General features: G+C 50.6%; 3 annotated features.

Annotated features, from left to right (window-relative positions):
• Positions 10,008-10,522: an enhancer, noted in NCBI's record as "H3K27ac-H3K4me1 hESC enhancer chr16:57451577-57452091 (GRCh37/hg19 assembly coordinates)". NCBI's record gives its function as "activates a minimal SCP1, AML or CMV promoter by ChIP-STARR-seq in primed H9 embryonic stem cells {active_cell/tissue: H9 hESC(primed)}" and the evidence as "EXISTENCE:reporter gene assay evidence [ECO:0000049][PMID:30033119]".
• Positions 11,039-11,554: an enhancer, noted in NCBI's record as "H3K27ac-H3K4me1 hESC enhancer chr16:57450545-57451060 (GRCh37/hg19 assembly coordinates)". NCBI's record gives its function as "activates a minimal SCP1, AML or CMV promoter by ChIP-STARR-seq in naive H9 embryonic stem cells {active_cell/tissue: H9 hESC(naive)}" and the evidence as "EXISTENCE:reporter gene assay evidence [ECO:0000049][PMID:30033119]".
• Positions 11,555-12,070: an enhancer, noted in NCBI's record as "H3K27ac-H3K4me1 hESC enhancer chr16:57450029-57450544 (GRCh37/hg19 assembly coordinates)". NCBI's record gives its function as "activates a minimal SCP1, AML or CMV promoter by ChIP-STARR-seq in naive H9 embryonic stem cells {active_cell/tissue: H9 hESC(naive)}" and the evidence as "EXISTENCE:reporter gene assay evidence [ECO:0000049][PMID:30033119]".

The following is a 12,109-nucleotide window of genomic DNA, read 5'->3' as shown; positions in this document are numbered from 1 at the left end:
TCTGTCCTTGAAACTTGATTTGATTCTCCAAGTTTGCTTTGCTTATCCTAGTCCCTGCTGGTGGATTTTAGTTGTTTGTTTGGCTAATTGAAGTTTGGCTCCAAAGCCCCTTTTATACACAGGTCTAAGATGACCCCTAGTGACTCATGCCCTTGTGTAATAACCCCCTTGAGTTTCAGCAGGACCTGTGAATGTGATGGGATAATCCCTACTGTGATTAGGTTACCTTCTGTGGCAAAAGTGAAGGGATTTTGCAGATGTAATTAAAGTCCCTAATGGACTTGAAGTTAATTAAAAGGGAGATTATCCTGAGTAGGCTTGACCCAATCAGTTGATCCTTTAAAAGAACTAGAGAAGAATTTCTCTTGCTAGCCATGAAGAAGTAAGTGCTGTATTAGTCTGTTTTCATACTACTATAAAGAACTGCCCGAGACTGGGTAATTTTTAAAGGGAAGAGGTTTAATTGACTCACAGTTCTGCATGGCTGGGGAGGCCTCAGGCAACTTACAATCATGGCGGAAGGCGAAGGGGAAGCAAGACACCTCCTTCACAAGGTGGCAGGGAGGAGACATGCTGAGCAAAGGAGGAAGAGCCCCTTATAAAACCATCAGATCTTGTGAGAACTCACTATCATCAGAACAGCATGGGGGAAACCGCCCTCATGATTCAGTTACCTCCACCCCTCTCGCTTGACACGTGGGGATTATGGGGATTACAATTCAAGATGAGATTTGGGTGGGGACACGAAGCCTAACCATATCAGTTGCCAAGTAGGGAGAGGGCCATTGGCAAGGAACTGTGAGTGCAGGCTCCTCACATGCTGGCAGACAGTCGAGAAAAAGGGGACCTTAGTCCACAGCTGCAAGGAACCGCATTCTGCCAACAACCAGGTTAGCTTGGAGAGGACCCCAAGTTCCAGTTGAGAATGCAGCCTAGCCGGCACCTTGTAAGATCCTGAGTAGAGGCCCCGGTCTTCTGTGCCAGGACTCCTGGCCCACAGAACTTGTGATAAGAAATGGGTGTTTTAAGCAGCTAAATGTGAGGTCGTTGGTTACACAGCAGTAGGAAACTAATTCAGCCCCAGAATGGTTTGACAGTAACAAAATTATTATTTATTATTATTATTTTGAGATGGAGTCTCGCTCTCTCACCCAGGCTGGAGTGCAGTGGTGTGATCTCGGTTCACTGCAAGCTCTGCCTCCCAGGTTCAAGCGATTCTCCTGCCTCAGCCTCCCGAGTAGCTGGGACTACAGGCATGTACCACCACGCCCAGCTAATTTTTTGTATTTTTAATAGAGACGGGGTTTTACCATGTTAGCCAGGCTGGTCTCAAACTCCTGACCTTGTGATTCACCTGCCTCGGCCTCCCAAAGTGCTGGGATTATAGGTGTGAGCCACTGCCTGGTCCGATAGTAACATAATTATTAAGCTGCAGGGCCACTGTTGGTTGCTTCTGCTGCACTTGCCCATATGAAGGACAAAAATCTCAACCTCCATGTTGAGGACAAGAGATCCTGAGCCAGAGCTTCCTGGACAGGCCTAGCAAATGCCACAAGCCCTCGCCGATTCTTGCTCTGAGTCCCAGCTGTTGCTGGCAAAAAGGATACTGCCATCTCCTGTCTGCTGCAGTTGGCATAGTTAATGATTTTATGCCGGCAGTTGCCGTGTCACTCCACAGGGTCCGGGGCAAGCCAGCTAGCTCGGAGTCTGGGGCCCAGAGTGAGGGAAGAGTCCTTGCCAATCAGCAGGACACACCTGGGCCGGGGGCTCAGACACACCTGCACCTACACCTGCACCCAGTGAGGCAACAGCCAGACAGGCTAGAGGTTTCAGCGTTCAGCAAGCTCACAGTATTGGAGCCAACATGGGCTCTTATAATCACTGAATGCAACCTCATCTTACATCTGAGGAAAGGGTGAGACTGGGAGGGTAACCTGCTGCCATCATTCACCTGAGCACCTCTTAAAAGTACTGAGGCCTGGCCGGGTGTGGTGGCTCACGCCTGTAATCCCAGCACTTTGGGAGGCTGAGGTGGGCAGATCATGAGGTCAGGAGATTGAGACCCTCCTGGCTAACACAGTGAAACCCCATCTCTACTAAAAATACAAAAAATTAGCCGGGTGTGGTGGTGGGTGCCTTGTAGTCCCAGCTACTCGGGAGGCTGAGGCAGGAGAATCGCTTGGACCTGGGAGGCAGAGCTGGCAGTGAGCCGAGATCACACCACTGCACTCCAGCCTGGGAGACACAGCGAGACTCCGTCTCAAAAAAATAAAGTACTGAGGCCTGGCCCGGCACAGTGGCTCACACCTGTAATCCCAGCACTTTGGAAGGCCGAGGCAGGTGGATCACTTGAAGTCAGGAGTTCGAGACCAGCCTGGCCAACATGGTGAAACCCCACCTCTACTAAAAATACAAAAATTAGCCAGGTGTGGTGGTGCATGCCTGTAATCCCAGCTACTTTGGAGGCTGAGGCAGTTGAATCGCTTGAACCCAGGAGGCGGAGGTTGCAGTAAGGCAAGATGGTGCCATTGCCCTCCAGCCTGGGTGACAAGAGTGAAACTCCATCTCAAAAAAAAAAAAAAGTACTGAGGCCTGATGTCCTTGGATGTTCTGAGTCAGCCCAATGTGGACCGAGATGGGGCTGGGGGTGTAATATTTCTTCTTTTTTAGTTTTCTAAAGTCTCTAGCTTAGAACTTGGCAGTGTACATTTGGGACTTCCCCCTTCCGAAATCATTCAAAATCAGTAAATGGAGGGGACAGCAGAGACAAACCATTACCTTCCTTGGGGTTAGGAGGCAGCCAAAACAGAACCACAAAATACTTGGAAGGAGATGAGAGCAGAGGCTTTGGAGCCAGAGTGTGGACAGGAGAGAAGGGAGAGCAGATGAGGGTGCAAACCTGCTCCAGATGAAGATACCCCTGAGCTGCAGAATGGGCCCTCGTGTGTAACAGTGGGGTCCAAGGGCACAGGCAGGCAGTGGGGCTGAAGGGAGAACCCCACAGCGGAGCCTGGCATGCTGGAAGCACCCTGGTCTCTGCACTGGAGAAGAGAGACTGTGAACAGCCCAGCTGCCTGTCCTTGTGGCAGGGAGAAGGCTAAACAGAAACCTTACCAAGTATTGGTGAAAATGTGGCCGGGTGAGAACTCCCTGTTGGTAGGGATACTTTGGGCAATGTCACCCTCATGTCACTTTGAACACTGGCTGCATATTAGAATCACCTGGATAGCTTCCAAAAATAAACCAAAACAAAACAAAACAAAAGCCTATTCCTGGATTTCCTCTCCAAAACCCAATTCAGTCAGAATCCCTTGGAGTAGGGCCCAGGGCATCAGCATTTTTGCAAAGCTCTCCCAGGTCATTGTAGAGTGCAGCCAGGATTGAGAACCACTGCCCTAGAGAAATTCTTTGGCCCATGCACCAGGAGACAAGTATTCAAAGCAGCAGTACTTCTAAGAGACAATCCAAATGTCCATTAACAAGAGCGTGAATGAATGAGCTGTGCGTCCAAGCAGTGGAACACTGCACAGCAGTGATGAGCTATAGCTGTGCACTTCAACATGGAAGAATCACGAAGCAACAGAAGCCACAAAAGCAAGTCACAGAAGTGTGTGTGTGTGTGTGTGTGTGTGAGAAATATTTCATTTACATAAAGTTCAAAAACATGCCAGATGCATCAGCCTGTCATTAAGGATATACACATACATATGTGCATATACATGATGTATACACACATGTATGTGTGTGACAAAACTAATAAAGAGCTCAAGGGGAATGATATAATTCAGGACCACAGTTGGCTCCAAAGGGAGACGGGAGAAAGAGGCAGGACTTCATCAGCAGGAAAGTTCTATTTCTTTAGGCTGGACGGTGGGTATACAAGTGTTTATTTTTATGTGTTTGTATACCTGCTATATACATGATGGATTTGTATTTCTTCTTCTTTTTTTTTTTTTTTTTTTTTTTTGAGACAGAGTCTCGCTCTGTCGCCCAGGTCGGACTGCGGACTGCAGTGGCGCAATCTCGGCTCACTGCAAGCTCCGCTTCCCGGGTTCACGCCATTCTCCTGCCTCAGCCTCCCGAGTAGCTGGGACTACAGGCGCCCGCCACCGCGCCCGGCTAATTTTTTGTATTTTTTAGTAGAGACGGGGTTTCACCATGTTAGCCAGGCTGGTCTTGAACTCCTGACCTCAGGTGATCCACTCGCCTCAGCCTCCCAAAGTGCTGGGATTAACAGGCGTGAGCCACCACGCCCGACCAGTGGATTTGTATTTCTAAGAAACTTCATTGAAAAAACCTGAAAACCTCTCACATGAAACCCTGGGTCTTAAGAAGAATACTGCTAGCCCAGGACAAAGTCCTGCTTCTCCCCGACACGAACCTCTGTGGAACACTTGACCCCGTTATCATCTCATGCAAAATTTTTAAAGTGGAACTAGTACGGCATCTATATATATAAAGCTGCCTCAGAATAATAGTAACAGAGGGAGAAGGTTGTCACAGAGCAGGTGAATACTGTTTGTGACCAAAATTTTTGCTACAAATTACACAAATGTATAAAATAGCTTTGTGCTAAGTAGGGGTGGGGATGGGGCAGCTCTTGGGTGGCTCTTACTTCACCCCTCTCGGGGAAAGCAGGGACAGAAGCCCCCACTCAGCCCTCAGTGACTTCAGATCTCACCTTCAGTGGTCACTCCTGGTGGTCAAGCTGGTGGTCTGGTCATTGGTTACCCGTGGCCCACCATCCAGCATGAGGCTTTCACCTCTGCAAACCTCTGTGCTGATCTGGAGACTGCGTTCAGACTCAGCTGGGTTAGAATGCTCCTTTCTTTCCTTCCTTCTTTCCTCCCTTCCTTCCCCTCCCTCACTCCTTCCCTCTCTTCCTTCCTTCCCCTCCTTCCCTCCCTCCCTTCCCCTCCCTCACTCCTTCCCTCTCTTCCTTCCTTCCCCTCCTTCCCTCCCTCCCTCCTTCATTGCTTCCCCTCCCTCCCTTCCTCCCCCTCCCTCCCTCCCTTCCCTCCCACCATCCATCCTTCCTTCCTTCTCCTCTTCCCTTCCTTCCCCTTTCTTCCTTTTCCTTCCTTCCCTTCCTTCCTTCCTCTCTCCATCCCTTCCCCTCCCTCCCTCCCTTTCCTCCTTCCTCCCTCCCTCCCTCCCTTCCTTCCTCCCTCCCTCCCTTCCTTCCTTTCCTCCTTCCTTCCTTCCTTTTTGATTTTCTATTATTACTTAAACATTTTTTCTCTTAAATCATGAAAGATTTCAAATACAGAGAATTTCCAATAGACAACTAGCTTTGCTGTGTGTGATTCTGATCACTCCTTTTTTTCGTACACAAGTGATACAGCAGTGGCAAAATCCCTTCGCTGTCCTCCCAGAGGACTCCTTTGTCCTGAGCTGATATATGTCTCATCCAAGCCTGCTACTCTACAGAAAAGTGAATATTGAATATGTCTTTTTTATGAAATTCACATAACATAAAATGAACGATTTAAAATAAACAATTCAGCAGCATTTGGTACATTCACAGTGTGGTGCAACCACCACCTCTATCTAGTTCCAAAATGTTTTCATTGCCCTGAAAGGAAACCCCATCCCCAGTAAGCAGTCCCTTCCGGTCTTCCTCTCCCACCATCTCTGGTCACCACCAGTGGGCGTTCTGACTCCATGGAGTTACTTCTGACATTTCATATGAATGAAATTATACACTGTGTGACCTTCTGCGTTTGGCTTCTTTAGCTTAACAGAGTGTTTCGAGCTTCACCCATATCGTAGGGCGTATCCATGCAGAAAAATCTTCCTTATATGGTTAGACCACTTTTGTTTATCCATTCAGCTGTTGATAGGCCTTGGGCTGTTTCCAGCTTTGTGCTGTAGTAAATATCCCACCATGAACATGTATGTGCAAGGACTTAACAAGTCCTTTGAAAGCTGATTTTTGGCTGTGACAGTTTCTCAGACTTTCCTTGTTTTGGATGAGCTTGATCATTTTGAGGAGTACTGGTCAGGGTTGGTTGGTTGGTTTGTTTTGAGACAGAGTCTCACTCTGTTGCCCAGGCTGGAGTGCAGTGGACTGATCTGGGCTCACTGCAGCCTCTACCTCCCAGGTTCAAGCAATCCCCCTGCCTCGGCCTCCCAAGTAGCTGGGATTACAGGCATGCACCACCATGCCCAGCTAATTTTTGTATTTTTAGTACTGTCAGAGTTTCACCCTGTTGGCCAGGCTGGTCTTGAACTCCTGACCTCAAGTGATCCGCCTGCCTCGGCCCCTCAAAGTGCTGGGATTACAGGTGTGAGCCACCATGCTTGGCTGAAGGCTGGCTTCTTAAAGCCCTGATCCCTTTGCTCGTCTGAGTATTTCACCCCCGTGGTTGCCATGCTGGCTTTGGAGAAGGGCACAGGGAATATCCAGGTGATGGCAGTTCAATTATGAGGAAATGGCAGGTTTTCTTTTCTTTCTTTTCTTTTCTTTTTCTTTTTTTTTTTTTTGAGACAGAGTCTCACTCTCACTCTGTCACCCAGGCTGGAGTGCAATGGCGTGATCTCGGCTCACTGCAACCTCTGCCTCCCGAGTTCAAGTGATTCTCCTGCCTCAGCCTCCCGAGTAGCTGGGATTACAGGCACGCGCCACCATGCCTGGCTAATTTTTGTATTTTTAGTAGAGACGGGGTTTCACCATGTTGGTCACACTGGTCTCGATCGCTTGACCTCATGATTGTGAGCCACTGCGTCCGACCAGAAACGGCAGGTTTTCTAAGACTGTGGTCCGCTAAGGGCGATGTGAGAGGTAGAGGAGTAGCCATATTGGCACATCCCCAAACAGGTGAGAGAAGGTCCAGTTCCATTGCTTCATGGAGAAATAGGCTCAGGCAGGTGAGGCTCAGGCAGGTGAGGCGCATGTGTCCAGGTCCGACGGCCAGTCAGTGGCAAAGCAGAGACTCCAAACAGGTCCCTGACCCTTTGTGTTAAAATGTACTTTCGAAGATAAACTTTTTTTAGCTCCCACATATGAGTGAGAACATGAGATATTTGTCTTTCTGTGCCTGGCTTATTTCACTTAACATAATGACTGTCCATCCATTTTGCTGCAAATGACAGGATTTCCTTCTTTTTTTATGGCTGAATCGTACTCTGTTGTGTACATGTACCAAATTTATTTATTTATTACTCCATTGATGGACACGGGTTGATTTCATATTTTGGCTATTGTGAATAGTGCTGCAATAAACATGGGGGTGCAGGTATCCCTTTGATATATTGATTTCCTTTCCTTTGGATAAATACCCAGTAGTAGGATTGCTGGATCATATGGTAGTTCTATTTAGGGGAGAGGGGTGATGGGGAGAGATTGGTTAATGGGTACAAACAAACAGCTGGATAGAAGGAATAATTTCCAGTGTTCGATTGCACAGTAGGGTGACTATAGTAAACAATTTATTGTGTATTTCTTTTTTCTTTCTTTCTTTTCTTCCTTCCTTCCTTCCTTCCTTTCTTTTTCTTTCTTTCTTTCTTTCTTTGAGATGGAGTTTCACTCTTATCGCCCAGGCTGGAGTGCAATGGTGCAATCTTGGCTCACTGCAACCTCTCCCGGGTTCAAGCGATTCTCCTGCCTCAGCCTCCCGAGTAGCTAGGATTACAGGTGCCAGCCACCACATCCAGCTAATTTTTTTGTATTTTTAGTAAAGATGGGGTTTCATCATGTTGGCCAAGCTGGTCTAGAACTCCTGACCTCAGGTGATCTACCTACTTTGGCCTCCCAAAGTGCTAGGATTACAGGCGTGAGCCACCATGCCCAGCCTTTTTTTTCTTTTTGAGACAGGGTCTCCCTCTGTAACCCCGGCTGGAGTGCAGTGGCACCATCACAGTTCACTGCAGCCTTGACCTGCTGTGCTCAAGTGATCCTCCCACCTCAGCCTCCTGAGTAGCTGGCAGCACAGGCGCATGCTACCATGCCTGGCTAATTTGTGCATTTCGTAAAGACTGAGTCTCACTATGTTGCCCAGACTGGTCTCAGACTCCTGGGCTCAAGTGATCCTCCCACCTTGGCCTCCCAGAGTGCTGGGATTACAGGTGTGAGCCACTATGCCCAGCCTATTGTATATTTCAAAATAGCTAGAAGAGAAGATTTGAAACGTTCCCAACACAGTGAAATGATAAATGTTCGAGGTGATGGATATCCTGATTACCTTGATCTGATCACTATGCATTGTATGCTTGTGTCACAGTATCATATGTATCCCATAAATATGTACAATTACTATGCATCAATTTAAAAAATTTAAAATGTACCCCCAGGATTTGAATTGATGGAGGTGACTGAGTGACAACACAGAGCGACCAAGGACACTGAAAGAATTCATCACTTGCATCTCCCAGGAGAACAGGGCATGGCACACACGCAGGACCACACACGGGGCCACAGGGGGAGCACCAAGTTTGGTCAGGAGGCTGAAAGGAAGGATCAGAACAGCACAGGCCACAGCCTTTTGTGGGGTTTCCACCCGAAGTGCAAGGCAGGCCAGGGGAAGCAGCCCGGGTCTGGCTAGTTGGAATAATTCCAGGGGGCCTTGGGCTTAGGGGCCGTCCCTAGTTGTCTCTACCTGGCTCTGGGTGATTTAGGGCAGGGGAAATACTGGCTTGGTGTGAGAGTTAAATAGAGATGGTTGGGGGGCCTGTGATTGGGATTGGTTGGAGGGTTTGTAACTATTATTACTTTCAAACACTTGCAAAAACCAGCTTGCAGGGGAGGTATAAATGCTTTTGGCCCTGTGATTTGGCCCTGTGATAAATGGATGCCAAATAGACCAAATACAGTCTCTAAGAAAACACAGTGAAACACCCCAGCCCACAGCTCTTGGCACTGCCCAGGTTGCGTCTGGAGTTAGTGGCCCTGCTAGTCCCAGCAGGGTTTCTTCCTTCTTCCTCTTCATCCAGCAAACCCCAGACAGTGTAATTGGCGGTTTCTTTGCTTCTGTTCCCACAAGAGGAGAGCCGGCCAGCTACAGACACCCCTGCCCCAAGGCCTAGTGCAGCTACAACCAGATGTGGCTGATCCCAGCCCCTGGGGACAGCGATGGGGCCGGAGTCTGGCTGGTGGGGTCAGGGCCCCTGGCGCATCAGCCTCAGAACTTCCTCCTAAGAGCAGAGTGCCCTCTGGTGGGCCACTGGAAAACAACCCAATTCTAATTTCCACGTTTGGAGATGCAATATGCTTCAAGCCGGGTTATTAGGGCTCCCCAGGAAATTTCTCTTTCCCCACTAGTGCCCCTTGTGGAATTCACCTGAGCAGCACTGATGAAAATGTATAAATCAAATATACACTGTGCACAAAGCTTTTTTCCCTCCTCATAAATGAGTCTGGTACTGTTTCCTGACCCAAATACCTGCTCAGTGAGTTTATTGGGTAAATCACCCAAGCAGCTCCAATTACAAGGGGTAGAGTGTGGTCAGGATTAGACTAAGGTGAGCGTTGGGTGCAGGTGGAGGACACACAGCTGAGGTTGAGTAGGCTGGCTGTGGCAGAGGCAGCACTGAGTTGAGCGTTGAAGAGAAACTGGATTTCAGAATAGTGGCTCACGCCTGTAATCCCAGCACTTTGGGAGGCCGAGGTGGGCGGATCACTTGAGCTCGGGAGTTCGAGACCAGCCTGGCCAACATGGTAAAACCCCATCTCTTCTAAAAATACAAAAATCAGCCAGGTGTGGTGGTGCACACCTATAATCCCAGCTACTCAGGAAGCTGAGGCATGAGAATCGCTTGAACCCGGGAGACAGAGGTTGCAGTGAGCCAGATCGCACCACTGCACTCCAGCCTGGGTCACAGAGCCAGACTCCATCTGAAAAAAAAAAAAAAAAAAAAAAAAAAAAAAAGCAGGGGTGGGGTGGGGGAGGAGGGGAGGCACCTACCAGGTGAAAGAAACAACATAAGTCTGGCGCTTCTCCTCACTTTTCACCCCGAACCTGCCCATTCCTCTTTTTCCCTCCCAGCAGTCTTTCCAATCACAGCAGTCTCCAGGTCACACCTCCTTAAAATGCCCTAAGGTCACATGGCAGTTGTCCTATCTCTTGCATCTCACCATCCCCCAGCTTGCACCGGATGCTGCTCGTGAATACTTGGATTCTGAATCCTGCGTTTTGTTGCCAGTCCTGGATCCACCTCTTCCCTGCCTTTATGCAATGCCCCACCCTATCTCACTTTCAGGGACCCTCTGGCAACTCCCCACCTCCTCACAGGCCTCCACGGCAGCTCTACTTACCTAAGCTTACAATATGGGCTTCTGAGTAGGATTTCAGTAGGGAAAAAACAAAAAAGGTCTTGCTTTTTTAAACGAAGTTTGCTGGAGGCCAGGCGCGGTGGCTCATGCCTGTAATCTCAGCACTTTGGGAGGCCAAGGCGAGTGGATCACATAAGGCCAAGAGTTCAAGACCAGCCTGACCGACATGGTGAAACCCCGTCTCTACTAAAAATACAAAAAAATTAGCCGGGTGTGGTGGCGGGCGCCTGTAATCCCAGCTACTTAGGAGGCTGAAGCAGGAGAATCGCTTGAACCTGGGAGGCGGAGGTTGCAGTGAGCTGAGATGGAGCCATTGCACTCTGAGAGTCCTTCCAGCTCTCGCCTGCAGGGTGCAGGGGTCCAGACCCCGGCTGTCTCTGGCCTTTGCTGTCTTAGGAGCTTCTCCTTGCCTCCCTCCCTTTTTAGATCATCCTTCCTCCTCCCGGTGGATTCAGAGGACAATTTTCCATGAAGAACTCAGACTGGGCCATCCCCAGGACTCTGGGTCTTAGGCAGTTGTTCAAGTGATCCTCCTCGGCATCAGGACAGGAGATGAGCCCACTTGCGGCTGAAGAGACCCTAGAGTCACAGGCAAGCCAGTTCACTGGTTTTATCAACCTCGTTATCGCTGTGCCCGTACTGGAAAGTAAACTTGGGTTCTATCATCTGCCCTGCAATGAGCTGACTGGCCACAAGGGAGCAGCAGGAGGCAACAGCCGGGCCTGGAAATTGCCCTTCTAACCGCAGCCCCACCAAACAATGCCCGCCACAAGGTCCTCGGAAGAGAAGGACCCGCGCCCCTGCCGCCAAACTGTGTTCAGAGAGAAGCCACGGCCCCATCGCTGGTTGGGAGAGTGAGAGAGAACTAGAAGGCTTAGGCCCCGACTCCTCTGTGCTCAGCCCTTAGCTGGGCATGGGCAGAGGGGTCTGGGGGTGGGGTGTCCTGAGCCTCTAGTCCCCATCTTTTTTAGCACAGGGGTGTGGGGTCCCCGGAGTGGCTCACGGAGCTCTCAACCTAATGGAGGAGCTGGGACTGCCACACACGCGCACGCACACACACACACACACACACACACACACACACACAATGAGAGAACCACGCGGAGCAGGGGTCGGCTTCAGGGCAGTCCCTAAGAGCTGGGGGAGCGAGTCGGTGGGCGGTTGTGCTGGGCCGGCTTCCGGCAGGCTGGGCGCAGCCAGGGCCGGGTGGGGATCACACTTCAGTCAGGAGGAACCACAGGGCCGCGTGGCGCCCGCCTGCCTGAGCCTGGAGTGGGCTAGGAAGTCAGCCGCAGGCAGAGGGCCCAGGACCCACAGAGCCCCCTCGCCCTGGAGCTGGGGTCTGGAGTTTGAGCGGGGAGAGGGAGCCAGGGCCAGGAGGAGCCGGGCCAGCTGGACTGCAGTGAGTGCAGGGGAAGGCAAGGACAGGGCTACAAGCTTCCCCCACCCTTGGCCAGGGGGCTCCCCAGCACTGGGCAGAGCTGTGGCCTGCGGCAGGGTCCTGGCCAGTCTGTGAAATTGACTCCAGCACCTCGGGGAAGTTTGTCCTCAGCTCCACGTGGGGCAAGAACAGGAGCTGGGCTGGGGGGAAACCGGGAGACCTTGGGGTGGGTAGGGAGAGAATCCAGCGGCCGCCTCCCAGGACCCCGCCAACCCCGCCCCTGCCCGGGCCTCTCACCAGGGCCTCCCCTCACTGGTGCGTGGTCTGCGGAAGCCACGTGCCCTTCTCAGCCTCAGTTTCCCTTTCCGACCTGCACAGGGCAGGACCAGAGGTTCTCTGAGAACCCTCCCAGAGTGACAGGCCGGAGTGGAAGCGCATCTTGCGCTGTGGGGACAGAC

The sequence above is a fragment of the Homo sapiens genome, chromosome 16, assembly GCF_000001405.40.
Source record: "Homo sapiens chromosome 16, GRCh38.p14 Primary Assembly".
In the NCBI taxonomy this organism is placed as follows: Eukaryota; Metazoa; Chordata; class Mammalia; order Primates; family Hominidae; genus Homo; species Homo sapiens.
This window is presented reverse-complemented; position numbering and strand designations above follow the sequence as displayed.